We start from the raw sequence: 15,162 nt of genomic DNA, 5'->3' as shown, positions 1-15,162 counted from the left end.
GTGAAAATATTAAAGGAACTTAGCATTTCTTTTCACCAGTACCACTGATGTCTCTAAGCCTCTTCTGTGAGTGCTCCCGTGATTCCTCCATCACCTTCAGCCACAGATTTAAAAAATCTACTAGCAATGGGGAAACAATCCAGAGTGACTTAGAAAAGAAAGATTCCTTGTCGTCATGGAACTTTTTTGTGTGTCATGTGTATCAAATGCAAATAATTACAGTCATTTCCCTCTCCTTAGGACAGAGCTTTAGTTTTCCCTGACATCCTGGTAAGACACTGTCTCAGTGACTGATACTCTGGAAAGTTCATCTTTAAAAGAGATGAACACCCAATCAATGTGTTGCATTCAGCAGATACCAGAAATACTGAGATACCAGAGTGGAGTGAAATCAGGGCCTTACTGGGGAGAAGGGGCTGGCCATCAACATTCGGTGAACATAGCAGGCAAAGTTACCATATTTGGGGACTAAAAATCTAATAATTCAGGTAAAGATCTCACATCATAACACCCTCACCACCCACACGCACAAACTCACTTTAGTTTTATCAGCAGCCAATAAAGTGAGATTTATTTCCTAATGAAAAGAATGCACTAAGAAAAATACAGATCTATAAGGCGATATTTTATTTGGGGATAGAAGAATCGCCCTAAACTGAGAATGTCAACTTTGTTTCAAGTAATACAGAAAAAGCACCTAGTACCAAACAGGTATACAAAGAAATAGCTGGGTTTAAGACTGGTCATGTAAACTCAAATGGAGTCAGTGTTCCCGAATGCCTAGATTTTCTTTCTGGGATGACTTAAAATTGAGCAAAGCAATCAAGAAAAGCGGCTACAGCTCACACTTCCTCATTGCTACAAGCAAGTCCCCCAACCCTGGAAACTCGGGACTTTAGACTTAAGCGTCCTCCACAAGTTCTTTGTTCAACCAGTAACCTCACAGATTCGTCTGTGTTGGCTTCATAGTCACAGCTAAAGGGGTGCATGGCTCTAGTGAGATCTTACTTAGCTCTAGACACCTGCTATTGCGTTTGACAGCTATGACCTATTCTTCCAGACAGAACCTACACTGGAACTCCCACCAGCAGAAGGAAATTGGTGCGGTGGAAACGGGGAGCAGGGTTCGAAAGCACAGGCAAAAGGCGCTCACAGGAAGCAAGATCCACGCTGGCCACACAAACTGTATCTTTCCCTTTGGAACGCTGGTACATCTCATCCATGTCAAGTGACTCCCCAGTACGTTCGGTTTGATCGCCTGTTGCCCTAACACTTTTCAGGCTAAAAACTACCTTGGTGCTGGGAGACACACTGGGTGGTTGGGTTTCCTCCAAGCAGGGCTTGATACGAGGGCACAGAAGGGCAGCTAAGGGTCACGTCTCTGGGTGCACAGGGTCCAAGTCCTAATTACAGAGGAGACCGGCTGCCCTTGTCTGTGCCCCATTCTCCAGCAAAGGGGTATATCGCAGGTTTGTGATTTTTAGTACCAAACTTGGGGCGATCAATTCAATTCCCTCCACCTTATGAGAAAGCAGTAAACCGAAATCCCCGGTGGGGCACTGGGGAAATTCCTACTCGGAAGAGAAACGGAGTTAGACTGCGTGTCCCCCACGCCCTGATGTCTGCTTTCCTGGTTCCTTCCAACTCATCCTCCAAGACGAAGGGAGCCGGGCGGGAAGCAGATGCCCAGAACGGGGATTCGTCGCAGGCTTGGTTAGGGGTCCCCAGAGCTGCGCTGCGCTGCACTCAGGCTACCCGCACCAAGCATCCCCGGAAGCCTCCCCGGGATTCACCCTGCGCGGCTGCAGGGCCCGAAAGGTCATCTTCCCACGAGTGCCACCAAGGGAGCCTGGGGGAGCGAAGGCCGGGCTCGGACGCCGCCAGTCCAGAGACCCCCTCATTGCCCCTTACCTGCCCGCGGCGAATCCGGCAGCCCCCTGACAGCTCCCAGCAGCCGCCACTGGAAAAGTTTCCGAACTTCTTCGCAGGTCTGCACGCCCTCGCTGCGGGCGGACCCAACCAGGGCCAGAAGGAGGAGGCAGCGAAAGCCCACGGGCCAGGTCTGTGCGTCCATCCTCGCCGTCCTGGTCCCCTTTACCCGCCAGTGGACCCCACTCGCCCTGCGCGCCCTGGCTGAGCTGCAGACGTGGAAGACACAGCGGCCGAGGCTCTCGAGCGGTGCGAGCCGGCTGCGGGGTGTACGGACCGCCCGCGGGCACCGGCTTCACCTGGGAGCAGTTAGCTCTTCCCGGAGGAGGCCCTAAGCTGAGACACCAGAGTTTTCCAGCTGAGCACCCTCTGGTCTTCTTCCCTAGCCGAGAAGAGTGGGCGGCTGGGCGGGGCGAAGAAAACTAGTGGAGCCGCAGGGAGCCCGCAAGCATCCGCTCTGGCCACCACTGCTGCAACTGCTGCCGCTGCCGCCACTGCCGCCACTGCCGCCACTGCCGCCGCCGCCGCCGCCTCCGCCGCCCGGCTCGGCTCGCAGCAGCTAACCTGGGATGTGCCCGCTCGCTGCGCTCCGCGGAAGCCCCGCCCCGCACTCCCCGCCCCGCGGACAGGCCACGCCCCTGCCACGCCCCCGGCGCGCTGTCCCGCTCCGCACCCACTAAGATGCTGTCATACGCGGCCCAGTGCTGAAGACTCGGAGCGACATCGATGCAAATAAATAGAAGGAAACCCGGACCTCGCTCTCCCAGTCCGTTCTGGGGAAGAATCATCTGATAAAAACAGAGAATGTATAAATAGGGTCAGAGAAGACAAGAGATGAGAAACACCAACTGGAACTAAGAAATATCTCATCTATGTAATCAAGGTCCTCAGTACATAGGAATTTGTATTCTAATTGCATTAAATAGGATCTGGACATAATACAAAAGGCAAAAACTATTTACGGTTAAAGATCTCAATTGAGAGACTTCATAACACTTAGGTTGTTAAAGAGTGCACATGAGAAGTTATTTTTTAAAATGGCTTTGTTTTACTGCTTAGGAACATTTTTCTATAACATGATTTTCTGAAAGGAGGTATAAGAATTACAATCAAACTTTATCACATTCTTATCACAATGAAATCTAGTTTTAAGTCTCTTATCACCATTTAGCATCATATTTTACTTCAGCACTTTGTATTTGTGGGGCTCCTCTGAGCTTTACCACTTCTGGAATTTCTTTAAAATATTTTTCAGAGAGCAATTAAGTTAAGAGTGCTCAGGGGAGTTCCTTACAAGGAATATAGAAAAATAAATACTTTAAGCAATTTTAAAATGGCAAAGGAATTTTGTCAATTTACAGTTTATGAGAGGAATGCATTACGCACCATAAACCAAAGGGCAGGTGCATTTTTTAAATGTGGTTGACTCAACAACTAAGCCTGTAAGAGTGTCTCAATCTACAGCCACTTGAAGAGAGTACTCCTTCTGTAAAATAAACTAGTTAAAAGCATCAGGCAGAGGGGACAATGAATGCTTTAACCACTTTAAGGAATTTCATCTCAAATTTGAACCCTTACCAAGAGATAGTAGTGAAAAACTTTATGTCTTAGTGAAGATTTTTAATGAACATTTAATATCAAAGGCAGCACTTTCAGCAGTATATCACTTGCTTTAAAACCATTCCAGGGCAATGGCTGAAACACTGCTTCAGAGTGAAATCATGCTACTTGGTGTTTGGCATCAGTTTTCTGAATATGAGATTTTGTTTCAAAGGGCAGTGCTCTTCATGAATCTCTTCTGCTCTAACCACCAAGTATGGAAAGATTGTCTGGAAGCCACCTATATCTATGAAAAGAAACAAGAAAAACCATGAGAATGTATATAGTGCTTATGGGCCAGATAATATTCTAAGTATTTTATGGAAATGAATTCACTCATGTAATCTTTATAACAACCTTATAAAGTAGTTACTACTATTATCATTGTTTTACAGATGAGGAAACAGGAACACAGAGGTGAAGTGACTTACTGAATGCCTAAGGTAAGTGACAAAGCCAGAAATCAAACTGAGGCTTCCAAATCCAGACCGCATGCTCTTCTCCAGAGGCTCTCCTTGACTATTCTGTGGTACAGAAAAACCCATCAGGTTTCACCAAAGGCCTTTGGGCAGCAACACCAAGGGCTGTTTATTCATTTAGCAGATTTTTTACTAGTAAATATGCATAATTTCTATCTATATAACTGTATTCTACTGGAATTATGTGTATCTCTATATAAGGCTAATAAATTCCCAAGTTTTTCTAAAACATCTTTATTGTTACCAAGATCTCTCCTTGATAGATTTGATCATCTTAGACTCTTAGCATCAAAAAGATCCTTAAATTACCATCTATCCCATTAACTGGAATCTCTAAAACGGTGTGTCTTGCAAGGATAAAAATCATAAACACAACTGAGTATTGATGGTTCAGTAAAAGCTAATTGACTAATACATATTGGTTGAAAACATACAATTTTTTTAACCGCTATTCTAGGCTTAACAGGAGTTTAAAGAGACACACAAGCAAGTTTTCTCAGTGATTTTATAAGTTAACAAAACAGGTGGGAGGTCATTTATAGAAATGCCATAGGAACTAACAAGAATATATTTAGTCTGTATAAAATATCCCCATTAACAAAAAATAAATATATTTTCCTTCTACCTCTTATCCATAACTGCTAGCAAAGTGGATGAGCCAGCATGTGGCCTGGAAGGGCATCTTGTCCTATTAGCATCCCTAAGCCCACCACGCAAGGCAACAGTATGCCTGCTACTGAAGCTACCAAGCTTCAAGACAAGTTTTCTAGTTCCACCCAGAACACAATGCCACGATCCCTTTTATAAGAACATTCTAGAGCAACCTCTGCAAATTATACCATAACTAGCCTTTTATTCAATTTACTGGTAAACATTACAAATGAAGCTAGGGAAAACTGTCCATAATTTGATAGTTATAATGCCTTATTTTACAAAATGTATTTAAAAAATGTATTGAATGTCTTTTATATAATAGGCATTGCGCTTTGCTTTCAAAATACCAATACCCTTGGATAGGAGAATCCTTAAATGGTCATTATTTAAAATACAGCTTAGTAATATTCTAAATCCAAAACTTCCCTGATACTTTCTATGTAACTGTTTATATGTTTATAGTTTGTCAACTTAGGACCTTGTAAAGAGAAATAAAAAACCTCGGCCGGGTGCGGTGGTTCACGCCTGTAATCCCAGCACTTTGGGAGGCTGAGGCGGGTGGATCACGAGGTCAGGAGATCGAGAGCATCTGGCCAACATGGTGAAACTCCATCTCTACTAAAAATATGAAAATTAGGTGGGTGTGGTGGCCCATGCCTGTAATCCCAGCTACTCAAGAGGCTGAGGCAGGAGAATCGCTTGAACCCAGGAGGCAGAGATTGCAGTGAGCCCAGATCGTGCCACAGGACTCCAGCCTGGGGGACAGAGTGAGACTCCATCTCACAAAAAAAAAGAAAGAAAGAAAACCTCCAGTGTGGTTTAGGTGATTTAATGATATCACAGAGTCTTCAACCCTGACTATTCTTTTAGGCTAAGACTGGCCACTAATTAGTTTACCCTCAGAAGCTGATTTGGGTAACTTTTATACCCAGTCAATGACAAGAGCTAAGATTTATTAAGCACTTACAGATATTATCTCATTTAACATTTCAACCATTCCATGAGACAGTTACTATTATACTACTGAGAAAACTGAAGTACAAAGAGATTAAATAACCTTCCAGAAATCCTGATAAGAGCCCAAATGCAAGCCAGGCTTCATAACTTTTGTACCCCTTTAGTCACTACACTCGCCTGCCTGAAAAGCCAGACACCTGGTTTGTGGCCCCTTGAACTCAACCTATCATATAAATATAAACTCTGGTACTCACAGCTATCCATGTGGACAACCTGCTGAACACCTTGGTTATAGTGGTCCAGAGCTCTGCATTGGCTTCAACGATGGCCTGATAGTACCTCACTGACGTGGGGCTGGCCAAGGTACTACCTGCTCCTACTTCCTACCTCCACTAAGCTTTTAACTAGGAGAACTGTTTTGCAAGCACTAAAATCCCACGAACTGCCTTGACATCTTTGAGCCTCACAGGTCCCTAGTCATGAGTTCTCCTGCTCTGGCCAGATATGCCCCCCACCCAGATGGAAAGTCTTGCTTGCTGGCTACCTCCCTTAGCTGGACCAGCTCCATCCCACCCTGTCTTCAACCTAATGGCTTTCACCTCCCTTCAGAGCAATTAGTCCAACAAGATAATCACATCCTCCTGTGGGAACCAAGGGGTCCTCCCCACAACACACCATCTTCTTGTTACTACAAAGCTTGCCTCCCACAACTCCTGCAGGTTCACTCTGCTCCCAAATGAAGCCCCTCCTCCCCTGTATGGCCCTGCATGGCATGTGGTAGCCTCCTCCCCTGGGCTATGAGTATGTGTGACTAACAAACTGCTGTAAATCTCATCTGTCCAGTCTTGTGTGTTTGATCATCTCGTATAATTTACAAAGGGGGATCCCTCTTTCATCAACTGGGTGAAAAGGAGGTTGTCAGAGAAAGAATATCCTTAATACAAATAACTTCCACTTCATTATTTCCAAAAAAGTGCTGACTTTTGTCTTGCCCTACCTTCTCTCTCCCTCCGATGTAGGCTCTAAGCCGTTGGTTGCACAATAAAGAGAACCAAGTTGGATGTCAGCCCGAGCTGCCCCAGTAATGAATTTCTGCCACCAAGTAACCAGGAGAAAATTGAGTGATACTCCCCTGAAATCTCCTCTAGTGAAGATAGTAATGGTTCTGTTAAAAAAAAAAAAAATCACCACCGGGCACAGTAGCTCTCGCCCGTAATCTCAGCACTTTGGGAGGCTAAGGCAGGAGGATCACTTGAGCCCAGGAGTTTGAGACCAGCCTGGGCAACATAGGGAAACTCTGTCTCTACAAAAATTCCAAAAAAATGGCCAGGCATAATGGCACATGCCTGTAAGCCCCAGCAGCTTGGGAGGCTAAAGTAGGAGGATCACTTGAGCCCAGCAGGTTGAGGCTGCAGTGAGCCATGTTCGCACCACTGCATTCCAGCCTGGGTAACAGCGTGAGACCCTGTCTCAAAAGAAACGAAAAAAGAAGAGAGGAGAGGTGAGGCGAGGTAAGGCGAGGCGAGGAGAGGAGAGGAGAAGGCAAGGCTGCCTAAAGGAGAGACTACACAGCAAATAAAATATTACATAAAATACTCAAAACCAGACACCAAACTGAAATTAACATGACAGTCAGTGGGAATCTTTGATCAGCAAACATTTTCAAAAATCACACACACACACACACACACGTGTCAGTATACCACTAATGTGTATATATATACACACACATGTGTGTCTGTATACCACTAATCTATATTTTCAGTTTGAAAATCCTCATAATCATCAGTACATGTTTATCAATGATTTTTAAATATTTTAGATGTACTTATGTCATTATCTCATAGTGAGTGTGCTTCAAGGCAAAGACAATGTTAACTATTTCACAAAAAGCCTTAAATAAATACTGTTACTGTGTGAAAATTTCAAAAGTATTTTGTACTATCTTTAATTTTACATGTTTTATATTTGCAATTTCTAATGAAAGACATTTCATTTCTTTCAGAGAACTTATGGAGAAATAAAAATAATAGTTGCTTTCAAAAAGAGAATCTACAGTATTAGAAAGAAGACTAGGAAAAGAAACCAGCAACACTCAATGATTTTATGAAGCCAAATGTCTTCAAATAATTTTCTTCTAGTCTATAATGTAAGAATGTTAAAACCGTGTCCCTCAAAGTTGCAATATACATTGCATGTGTAAATTGTATGTATAATTACAACATAATGGAAATGAATATACTACACATTTCTCTCACTTTCAAATGTTGGTTTTGCACCAACTATTTTTGGTTTCCAAATAGAGTGAAATTTACATCCAGAATTTCATTGTATCATTAATTATATCAACAGCTTAAGGAAAAATAATTATATTAACCAATAAATCCAGTTGTTAACTACATGAAATACATAATCTTGCTTAGGTGAATGTTTTCCAGAAATTAAACTAGGGAAAAAGTCTCTAACCTTTATAAGATTGTATACCTAATGTTGCTGGCTGTTTAACCTGAGAACTAAGGGGCCACAAGAGTTTATCTGCCAGATGATAAGCCTTCTGAGGTCAAGTGAGCCTGCGCATATCCACTTCTACCCTCTGTAGTCATTGCATAACTTTATTGAATGAATTTGGCTGCTATAAGGTTGATAATCTCATGTGTCCTATGTTATCTTTATTAAAATCTTTGATTCTTTTTTAAGCAGCAGTCCACTTTTTAACTTCACTTAATCCCTAAATTATTATATTACTTTCAAAGTGGAAAATTCACTATCTGATAGAATAGTATCAATAAACATCTTCAAAACCAGGTTGTAATTTCTCAAGCTATTTGTGATCACTTCATCTTCTAGATTTGACTTTCAGTAAATCTTTAATGTCTGTTTCACTTCTTGTCATTACTTTTTATGATTAAAAATTTGAGGTAGATGTTTTAAAATGTTAATGTTACCACTAAATGAATTATTCAATCAAGAGATAAAGAATTATTTTCCTAATTAATTTCCTGCAACTTTGACATTATACTATCTTAAATATTTTCAGATAAAATTACTTTTAATGCTAGTTATCAAATATTCTCCAGAATGGGTATTCATTATCTGTGTCACTTTGGTGGTTGTTAAAACCACTCTGATATTTCCTTTACTTACTATGTAAAATGAGGGGAAAACACAACATCTATGTTATAATGTTGATAGGGTTAACTGAGATAATATATGTGAAGTATTTTGTACAATTCTTGGATTATGTGACCACTCAATAACTAGACATTATTCTTCTTCCCCACTTGAAAAAAATACCTGCCATTAATTTGTGCTCTATTAGTTACATCCTAGAGGTATTTAAGGTAATAAGCCCTCTCCTCTAAACTCAATAACAATTCAAAAGTAAAACCTCTTGCCCTCCCCATATTTGTAATATGGTTCTTTCATGTCGTATAGCAGTTATGCACCTATCAAACTATTTTTTTGAGTAATGGAACAAATGAGCATCATCTCAACTCAACGTAGGTACAGGAGATTTTAAGTTGCTCAAGGTCATGAGCTAAAAGTCATTTTTAAAGGTAAAAGAGTCACTCTTCTCTGAACATAATGAGCACTTAGAGCAGGATCTGGAAACTAATTATCATCAGCTTTTTAAGATGCAAAATGTAGACTCTCTCCTAATAATTAAGCCTTATAATTGATAATTATCTTTGATTAATGAGTAGGAAGTTTTTCCAGAGGCTTTCGCTGCTGTGTACCATTGTCATAATTGATCTTTAATTGTTCCATGTAAGAATCCCTTTTATCATGTTTAATCTCTGCTATTTATAAATAAGGACCATGTACCACCCTTATTAACTCTCCCTAGATGTAATATTACTTTACAATTGTCTTTCCAATTTAATTAATATTCGGCTTAATTCTTTACATTTGCATATGAAAAGGTACAAGCAGTTCATGCTATCAAGCAGAAAGGAGAAACCCTTTGCTCTGACCACTTTTGAATTCTCTTCTTGATCCAAATTTTGAGAGAAGAGAGAACAATACTCTCTCTGGATATGCCAGAGGAGACTGTACATCATTGCCATCTTTCTGCTTCTGGATAATGTATTTAGGCCCTTCTTATCTTAGGAAAATATGTATCATTTCATCTGGGCTCTGTTTCCTATATAGCATCCTAGTTTTTCCTCACTTTCCTTTTCCTGCCAATATTTCCAAATGATCTAGCTACTTTCCTGATCTCTGTATATCAGATTAGTCCGAAACCACACGGCCAACTTTTTTCATATATCTGCTGAGTCTGACATTGCTAAACACTCTCGTAAAATTTCTGTCCCCTTCAGCTTTCCTGAAAATTCACCGTCCTCAGTCTTCTCCTAGCTCTCCAACATTTCTTTGTCTATTCTTTTGCCTATTTTCTACCTTTCCCCTGCCTCCAAATTTCCCAAGACTTATGCCCTAGGCCTTGCTTTTCTAGTTATTCTTCCTAGGAAGGTGTCCTGGGTTAAATAGTTTCCCCTCAAAATTCATGTCCACCCATGCATTTTGAATATCAGAATGTTACTTTATTTGGAGCTGGGATCTTTGCAGGTGTTATTAATTAAGGATCTTAAGATGAAATCATCCAAGATTTAAATCCAATGACTGGTGTCCTTATAAGAGGAGACGCAGACAGAGAAGGAGGAGATATGAGATGGAGGCAAAGATTAGAGTGATTCAGCTGCAACCCAAAAAAATGCCAAGGATTGCTGTCAACCACCTGACGTTAAGAGAGGAATGAGCCTGATGTGGTATTTGGTTTTCTTTCCTTTGTTAGTTTGCTGAGGATAACTAGGTGATGGGTTGATAGGTGCAGTAAACCACCATGGCACACGTTTGCCTGTGTAACAAATCTGCACATCATGCACATGTAATCCCAGAACTTAAAATAAAATTTTTAAAAAAGAGGAATGAGATGGCTCTTCCCTCGGAGCCTCCAGGAGGAACCAACCCTGCTGACATTTTGATTTCAGACCTATGGATATTTCTGGAAACTTGAAAGAATACAATTCTGTATTAAGCCCCCAAGTTTGTGGGTTTGGCAGCCCTAGAAAATGAATACTGAAGGCTTACGCCTTCACCTCTAGCATCTGTGCTAAATATCCAGAGACGTTTCTCTCTAGGTCTGGCCTCTTATCTACCCCATCTGCTTTTTAATTTGGGTATTCTACCATCATCTCAAACTCTATTTTTAACAAAGGGATGTTATTATCTTCTCCCCAGTTCACACTCTCCCTTATCCATTGTTAAACTTATTGACAAACACAAGAGCCTGAGGTCTGTTCTTTTTGTTAATAAAATCATCCGTGCTAAACCAGAATGTTCATATTCTTTCTCCTTTATTACCTCTACGTAATATAAATTACATGACTTATCAAGTCATCCACTTTTCTCTCATATTCATCTTCTTCATTCCAACGTCCCCAAGCTTTCTCTTTAAATTACCAGTGGATTGCACTAGCCCCAGAGTGGGGTCATCACCTACACTGTCTTTCTGGTCTAAATCATTCTCCATCCTAGGCCCATGTCAGTCCATTTGCATCAGGCTTTTATATTAATATATATATGCTACATAATATATTTAGTATATTATAAATATACTAAAAAGTGCTAATTGGTTATTTCTAGTTTATTATATACTATATATTATATACTATATATTATATACATATGTATATATTAGTGTAATGTATATTGGTGGCAAACCAGAGTCTAGCATCTACCTCTGTATTTCTTCAAATATAGTTCAGGGAATGCCAGTAACATATTCACTTGGAGTATTAGAATGCAGATTCCTGGGTCTTATCCAAAATCAGATTCTTGGTTTGGGATCTGGGCTATTCTCATAAAATTCTCATGAAAGCTCAACATTTAAATGTATTGAGTTCCCTTTACTTTTATTTAAATTCACTCTTCTTCCTACATAAACTCTGTTTCTTCTGGAGGCAGAAAAATCCACCACTTATCTTCCCTAAAATGTGCCTTGCTCATTTCAACTTGAAGCATCACTTAAGCCTGGAATATTTCCTTCTTGCTCTCCACCTCTCTTTCGTTAAAAGCTCCACTCAAGTTGCTTACTCATCACAAGGAATTTTCCAGCCATGCAACTCCACACTATTCTCTTCCACCTCTGGGTTCCTATCACATGTTATTGTGCCAGTTACTATGTACTGATTAATTATATGTCATTATTTAGGTAAACATGCCATTACAGGTTTGTTTCCTTAAGAAAATCTTAAGCTGCTCCAGATTCTGCACAGGATCTAGCGCATAACAGGAACTCAGTAAATGTTTTCTAAATTAGTGCTTGAAAGAAAGGCCAGGGGCAGCATCTTGAAAAGCTCACAAATGCATATAGGACACTCAGATGTAGACCACTTTGTTAGGAAGTACACTAATGGGGATGAATACTTATACTCCTATTCATTCCACTTGAGTACAACTATGAAGGTTGACTGATGATAATGTAACAATGATACCATGTCTTATATTTGATCTTCAAGAATGTGAGAGCAGATAACCAGGCTTAAACTATTAAAGTTATATTTTCTACTAGTCTAATAGCCACTGAATTATTGTTAATACAACAAAACTGGATGAACAAGCTAAAGAAATAATTATGTTGATAAAAGTACAATTTAAAAATTAAAACCATATCTGGATTCATTATTCACTTCTAAATATAAATCACTGCATTCACTCTGACCGATATTTATTGAGCATTGTTATGTATTATGCAAATCAAAATATTGATTACCTGGCCCATGGCACACTAATCATGGAAATCAAACATAGAATGATCTCTATTGCTCTTTATGAAGAATAAAGCTTAAATATTCTGCAGAGAAATATCTACAGTACACACATTCTACCAGCCTGCTTTATTTTCTTAAATCCATATCAATGTAAATAGACACAATGATACTTTAAGAAACTTTCTTTTTTTCTGAGACAGAGTCTTGCTCTGTCACTCAGGCTAGAGTGCAGTGGCATGATCTCAGCTCACAGCAGCCTTCACCTCCCAGGCTCAAGTGATCCTTCTCCCTCAGCCTCCCAAGTCACTGGGACTACAGGCCTGCACCACTACACCAGATAACTTTTTTTTTTTTTTGGTAGAGACGAGGTCTCCCTATGTTGCCCAGGCTGGTCTTGAACTACTGAACTCAAGTAATGTTCCCACCTCAGGCTCCCAAAGTGCTGGGATTACAGGCATGAGCCACCAAGCCTAGCAAGAAACTTTGTCTACAAAGGAACATATGTTTTTAAACTGCCTTGGCTTTCACTAATTAGCATATTCCTCTCTAAGAAAAAAGGTGTAATATATATTACAAACTTCAGAATTCAAAACACATTCCTCGCATTCTCTTGTCCTTATTCTCACTTTGGAGATGTTACATGCAGAAAATATGGAAAAACAATCATATTAGCTCTCCCCAATATCACCTCTGCTCACACATTTAATATAGTGAATGTTTCCTCAGAATCCAAGAAGGATTACCTAAACCGTTCATTCAGAGCAAACCCCGCTGACTTCTGTATCAACTCTCAGTATGCCCTGAATCACTTCAATGATACATTGAAACATCAAAGCACTTATATACATGCCAAGCTCTATTCCAAGCACAGAATTAGGGTTGCAGAGCTGGATCAAATATAGTCCCTGCCCTCAAAAAAAGGTACAATTCTGAAAACTAGAAAGGCACAAAAATACGGACCACAAAGGGTTACAGATGTCCTAATCAGAATACTCAAAGAAAGGCTGCAACACCTTCACAAAGCATGAAGCCTGAGAAGTAAGCTGTGTTTCTTGTGTGATTGCTTAACCTGTGTTCTTGATATTTCAAAATGCAGTTAAATAGAAATGTTTAAATTAAGAACATATATCTCCTTACAATAAGTCATTTATATAAGGGGAAGTGTTGAAAATCATAGGGTTTGGAAAGTCCAGACTCATGTTTTCACTCACAGCACTTATAAAAACAGTCCACATACCACATCATCAATATGATGGAAAGGAATGTAGTCAATAAAAATTACATTTTGAAGTTTCTAAAAACTTGAGGGCTGTCAGATGAGAAAACTAAGATTAGAAACATATACAGTCCCAGTTAGTCAGGAGGATGAGGTGGGAGGACTTCTCAATGTAGCTCACTCCATCTCAAAAAAAAAAAAAAAAAAATAGAAAAGAAAAAGAAGTGTACATAAAGTATAATAGCTGCTGCACTATCAACTGCATAGAAAAAAGGGGTGATTAAAATATACTAAAAATGCTAATTGGTTATTTCCAGTTTATCACTTTTTTTATACTTTCAAGTATTTTCCAAATTTACAGTTAAAATCTGAAAATGGACATTTTATGCAAATAAAATTCTACACTGTCTTTTAAAAAATCCACCTTTCCCAATACTATAGGAAGAAAAGGCAGCATATACAAAGATGAGTGGAAGAAAAATGCACTAAAAAGAAGGCTAGCACTTGCCTTCCCTCCCCATCACAAGAGATTTTAGTGGGAGCTTATGACTGCTCATTGTGCAGATTAGTATATTTCTGTTAAAGATGAACCCTTATATCCAAATTAATTAGTATGCCTTAATTCGATTTCAGGAGCTGAAGTCAGTGGGCAGTAGTAGTTAAGTGGAAGCCCACCAGGCCCTTCAGATTATTAAACAATGTGAACTCCCCTCTCTGCCTTTCTTGCCTATGGTTTCCTCCACTGCTCATGTCCCTTGCTCCTATTCACTCAGCCTCAGCATTTCCCCCTCGTCCAGCAACTTGGCTTCCTAGGAGTCAGTGAGGTAGGTGACAGAGAGGAGGTAGAACCAAGTCAGTCTAGACAGCCAGTGGTGGAAATATAAATAGTGCATATCAACAATTATTCTAGAAGGGCCAAAGAGACCAAAGGATAAGTGTTATTGACATTTGTGTGCTGTTTGTATGTTAATTTGGACAGTGCTATAAGTAAAATAAAATATTGTCCCTTGCACTTTATTACCACGACTAAAAAATCTTCAAAAAAAATAATGATGGGGAGGGAAAATTATCAACCCTTGGATATAATCAAAATTTTCCTCCATTTTCAGTACTTTGTAATCTTGAGCCATTCGCCAAGCTCTCAGAGCTTCCGGTTTCCCTAGAGAGACTGGGCTAAATGGTCTGTTATGTCTCTTGCAGCTGTGAAATTCTACAAACTTTAATAAGAGAGATAGTTATTGATTTTAAACAAGGGCTCTTGAAAAAGAATAAGCAGAAAAAATTTAATTGCTCAAAATGAATTAAGGCACTTATTCTCACTTATTTAGGTAGATTTTTAAAATATCATATATAATTAATTTTTTAGTCTTCATATTCTACAAGTATATAAAGACAGTCCCAAAACTATATATAAATCAAAATAAGACAGACAACCTCAGGTATACAATAGAAAATAAGTTTAGCTCTGCAAGAGAATGATGGGGATGGATTTTCCTCCTGATTTGGGCAATTTAGGAATTAAGACAATTTTGCATAATGTAAAAGTTAAGACTAT

At 39.9% G+C, this 15,162-nt stretch overlaps 1 protein-coding gene and 1 long non-coding RNA gene across 13 annotated transcripts in view, besides 2 other annotated features; both read right to left on the bottom strand.

The window, feature by feature from the left end:
* Positions 1-2,500, bottom strand: part of GPC5 (glypican 5) — a 1,468,617-nt gene extending 1,466,117 nt beyond the window's left edge. For all 12 annotated transcript variants that reach the window (NM_004466.6, XM_017020435.3, XM_011521054.4 and 9 more), the window contains exon 1: positions 1,912-2,500. In NM_004466.6, the coding sequence (NP_004457.1) occupies positions 1,912-2,074 (163 nt within the window). In that variant the 5' untranslated portion in view covers positions 2,075-2,500. The remainder of the gene's footprint in view (positions 1-1,911) is intronic.
* Positions 2,392-2,686: a silencer, noted in NCBI's record as "tiled region #6090; HepG2 Repressive DNase unmatched - State 4:PromP". NCBI's record gives its function as "represses a minimal TATA promoter and a strong SV40 promoter by Sharpr-MPRA in HepG2 cells {active_cell/tissue: HepG2}" and the evidence as "EXISTENCE:reporter gene assay evidence [ECO:0000049][PMID:27701403]".
* Positions 2,416-2,685: a silencer, noted in NCBI's record as "silent region_5433". NCBI's record gives its function as "represses an Ori minimal core promoter by ATAC-STARR-seq in GM12878 lymphoblastoid cells {active_cell/tissue: GM12878}" and the evidence as "EXISTENCE:reporter gene assay evidence [ECO:0000049][PMID:35858748]".
* LOC124903189 (uncharacterized) lies at positions 3,533-4,244 on the bottom strand. Its single transcript, XR_007063831.1, has 2 exons — positions 3,960-4,244; positions 3,533-3,775 (listed from the first exon to the last, which is right to left on the bottom strand). It is a non-coding gene; the product is annotated as an uncharacterized LOC124903189 (long non-coding RNA).

Source organism: Homo sapiens, chromosome 13 (genome assembly GCF_000001405.40).
Source record: "Homo sapiens chromosome 13, GRCh38.p14 Primary Assembly".
In the NCBI taxonomy this organism is placed as follows: domain Eukaryota; kingdom Metazoa; phylum Chordata; class Mammalia; order Primates; family Hominidae; genus Homo; species Homo sapiens.
This window is presented reverse-complemented; position numbering and strand designations above follow the sequence as displayed.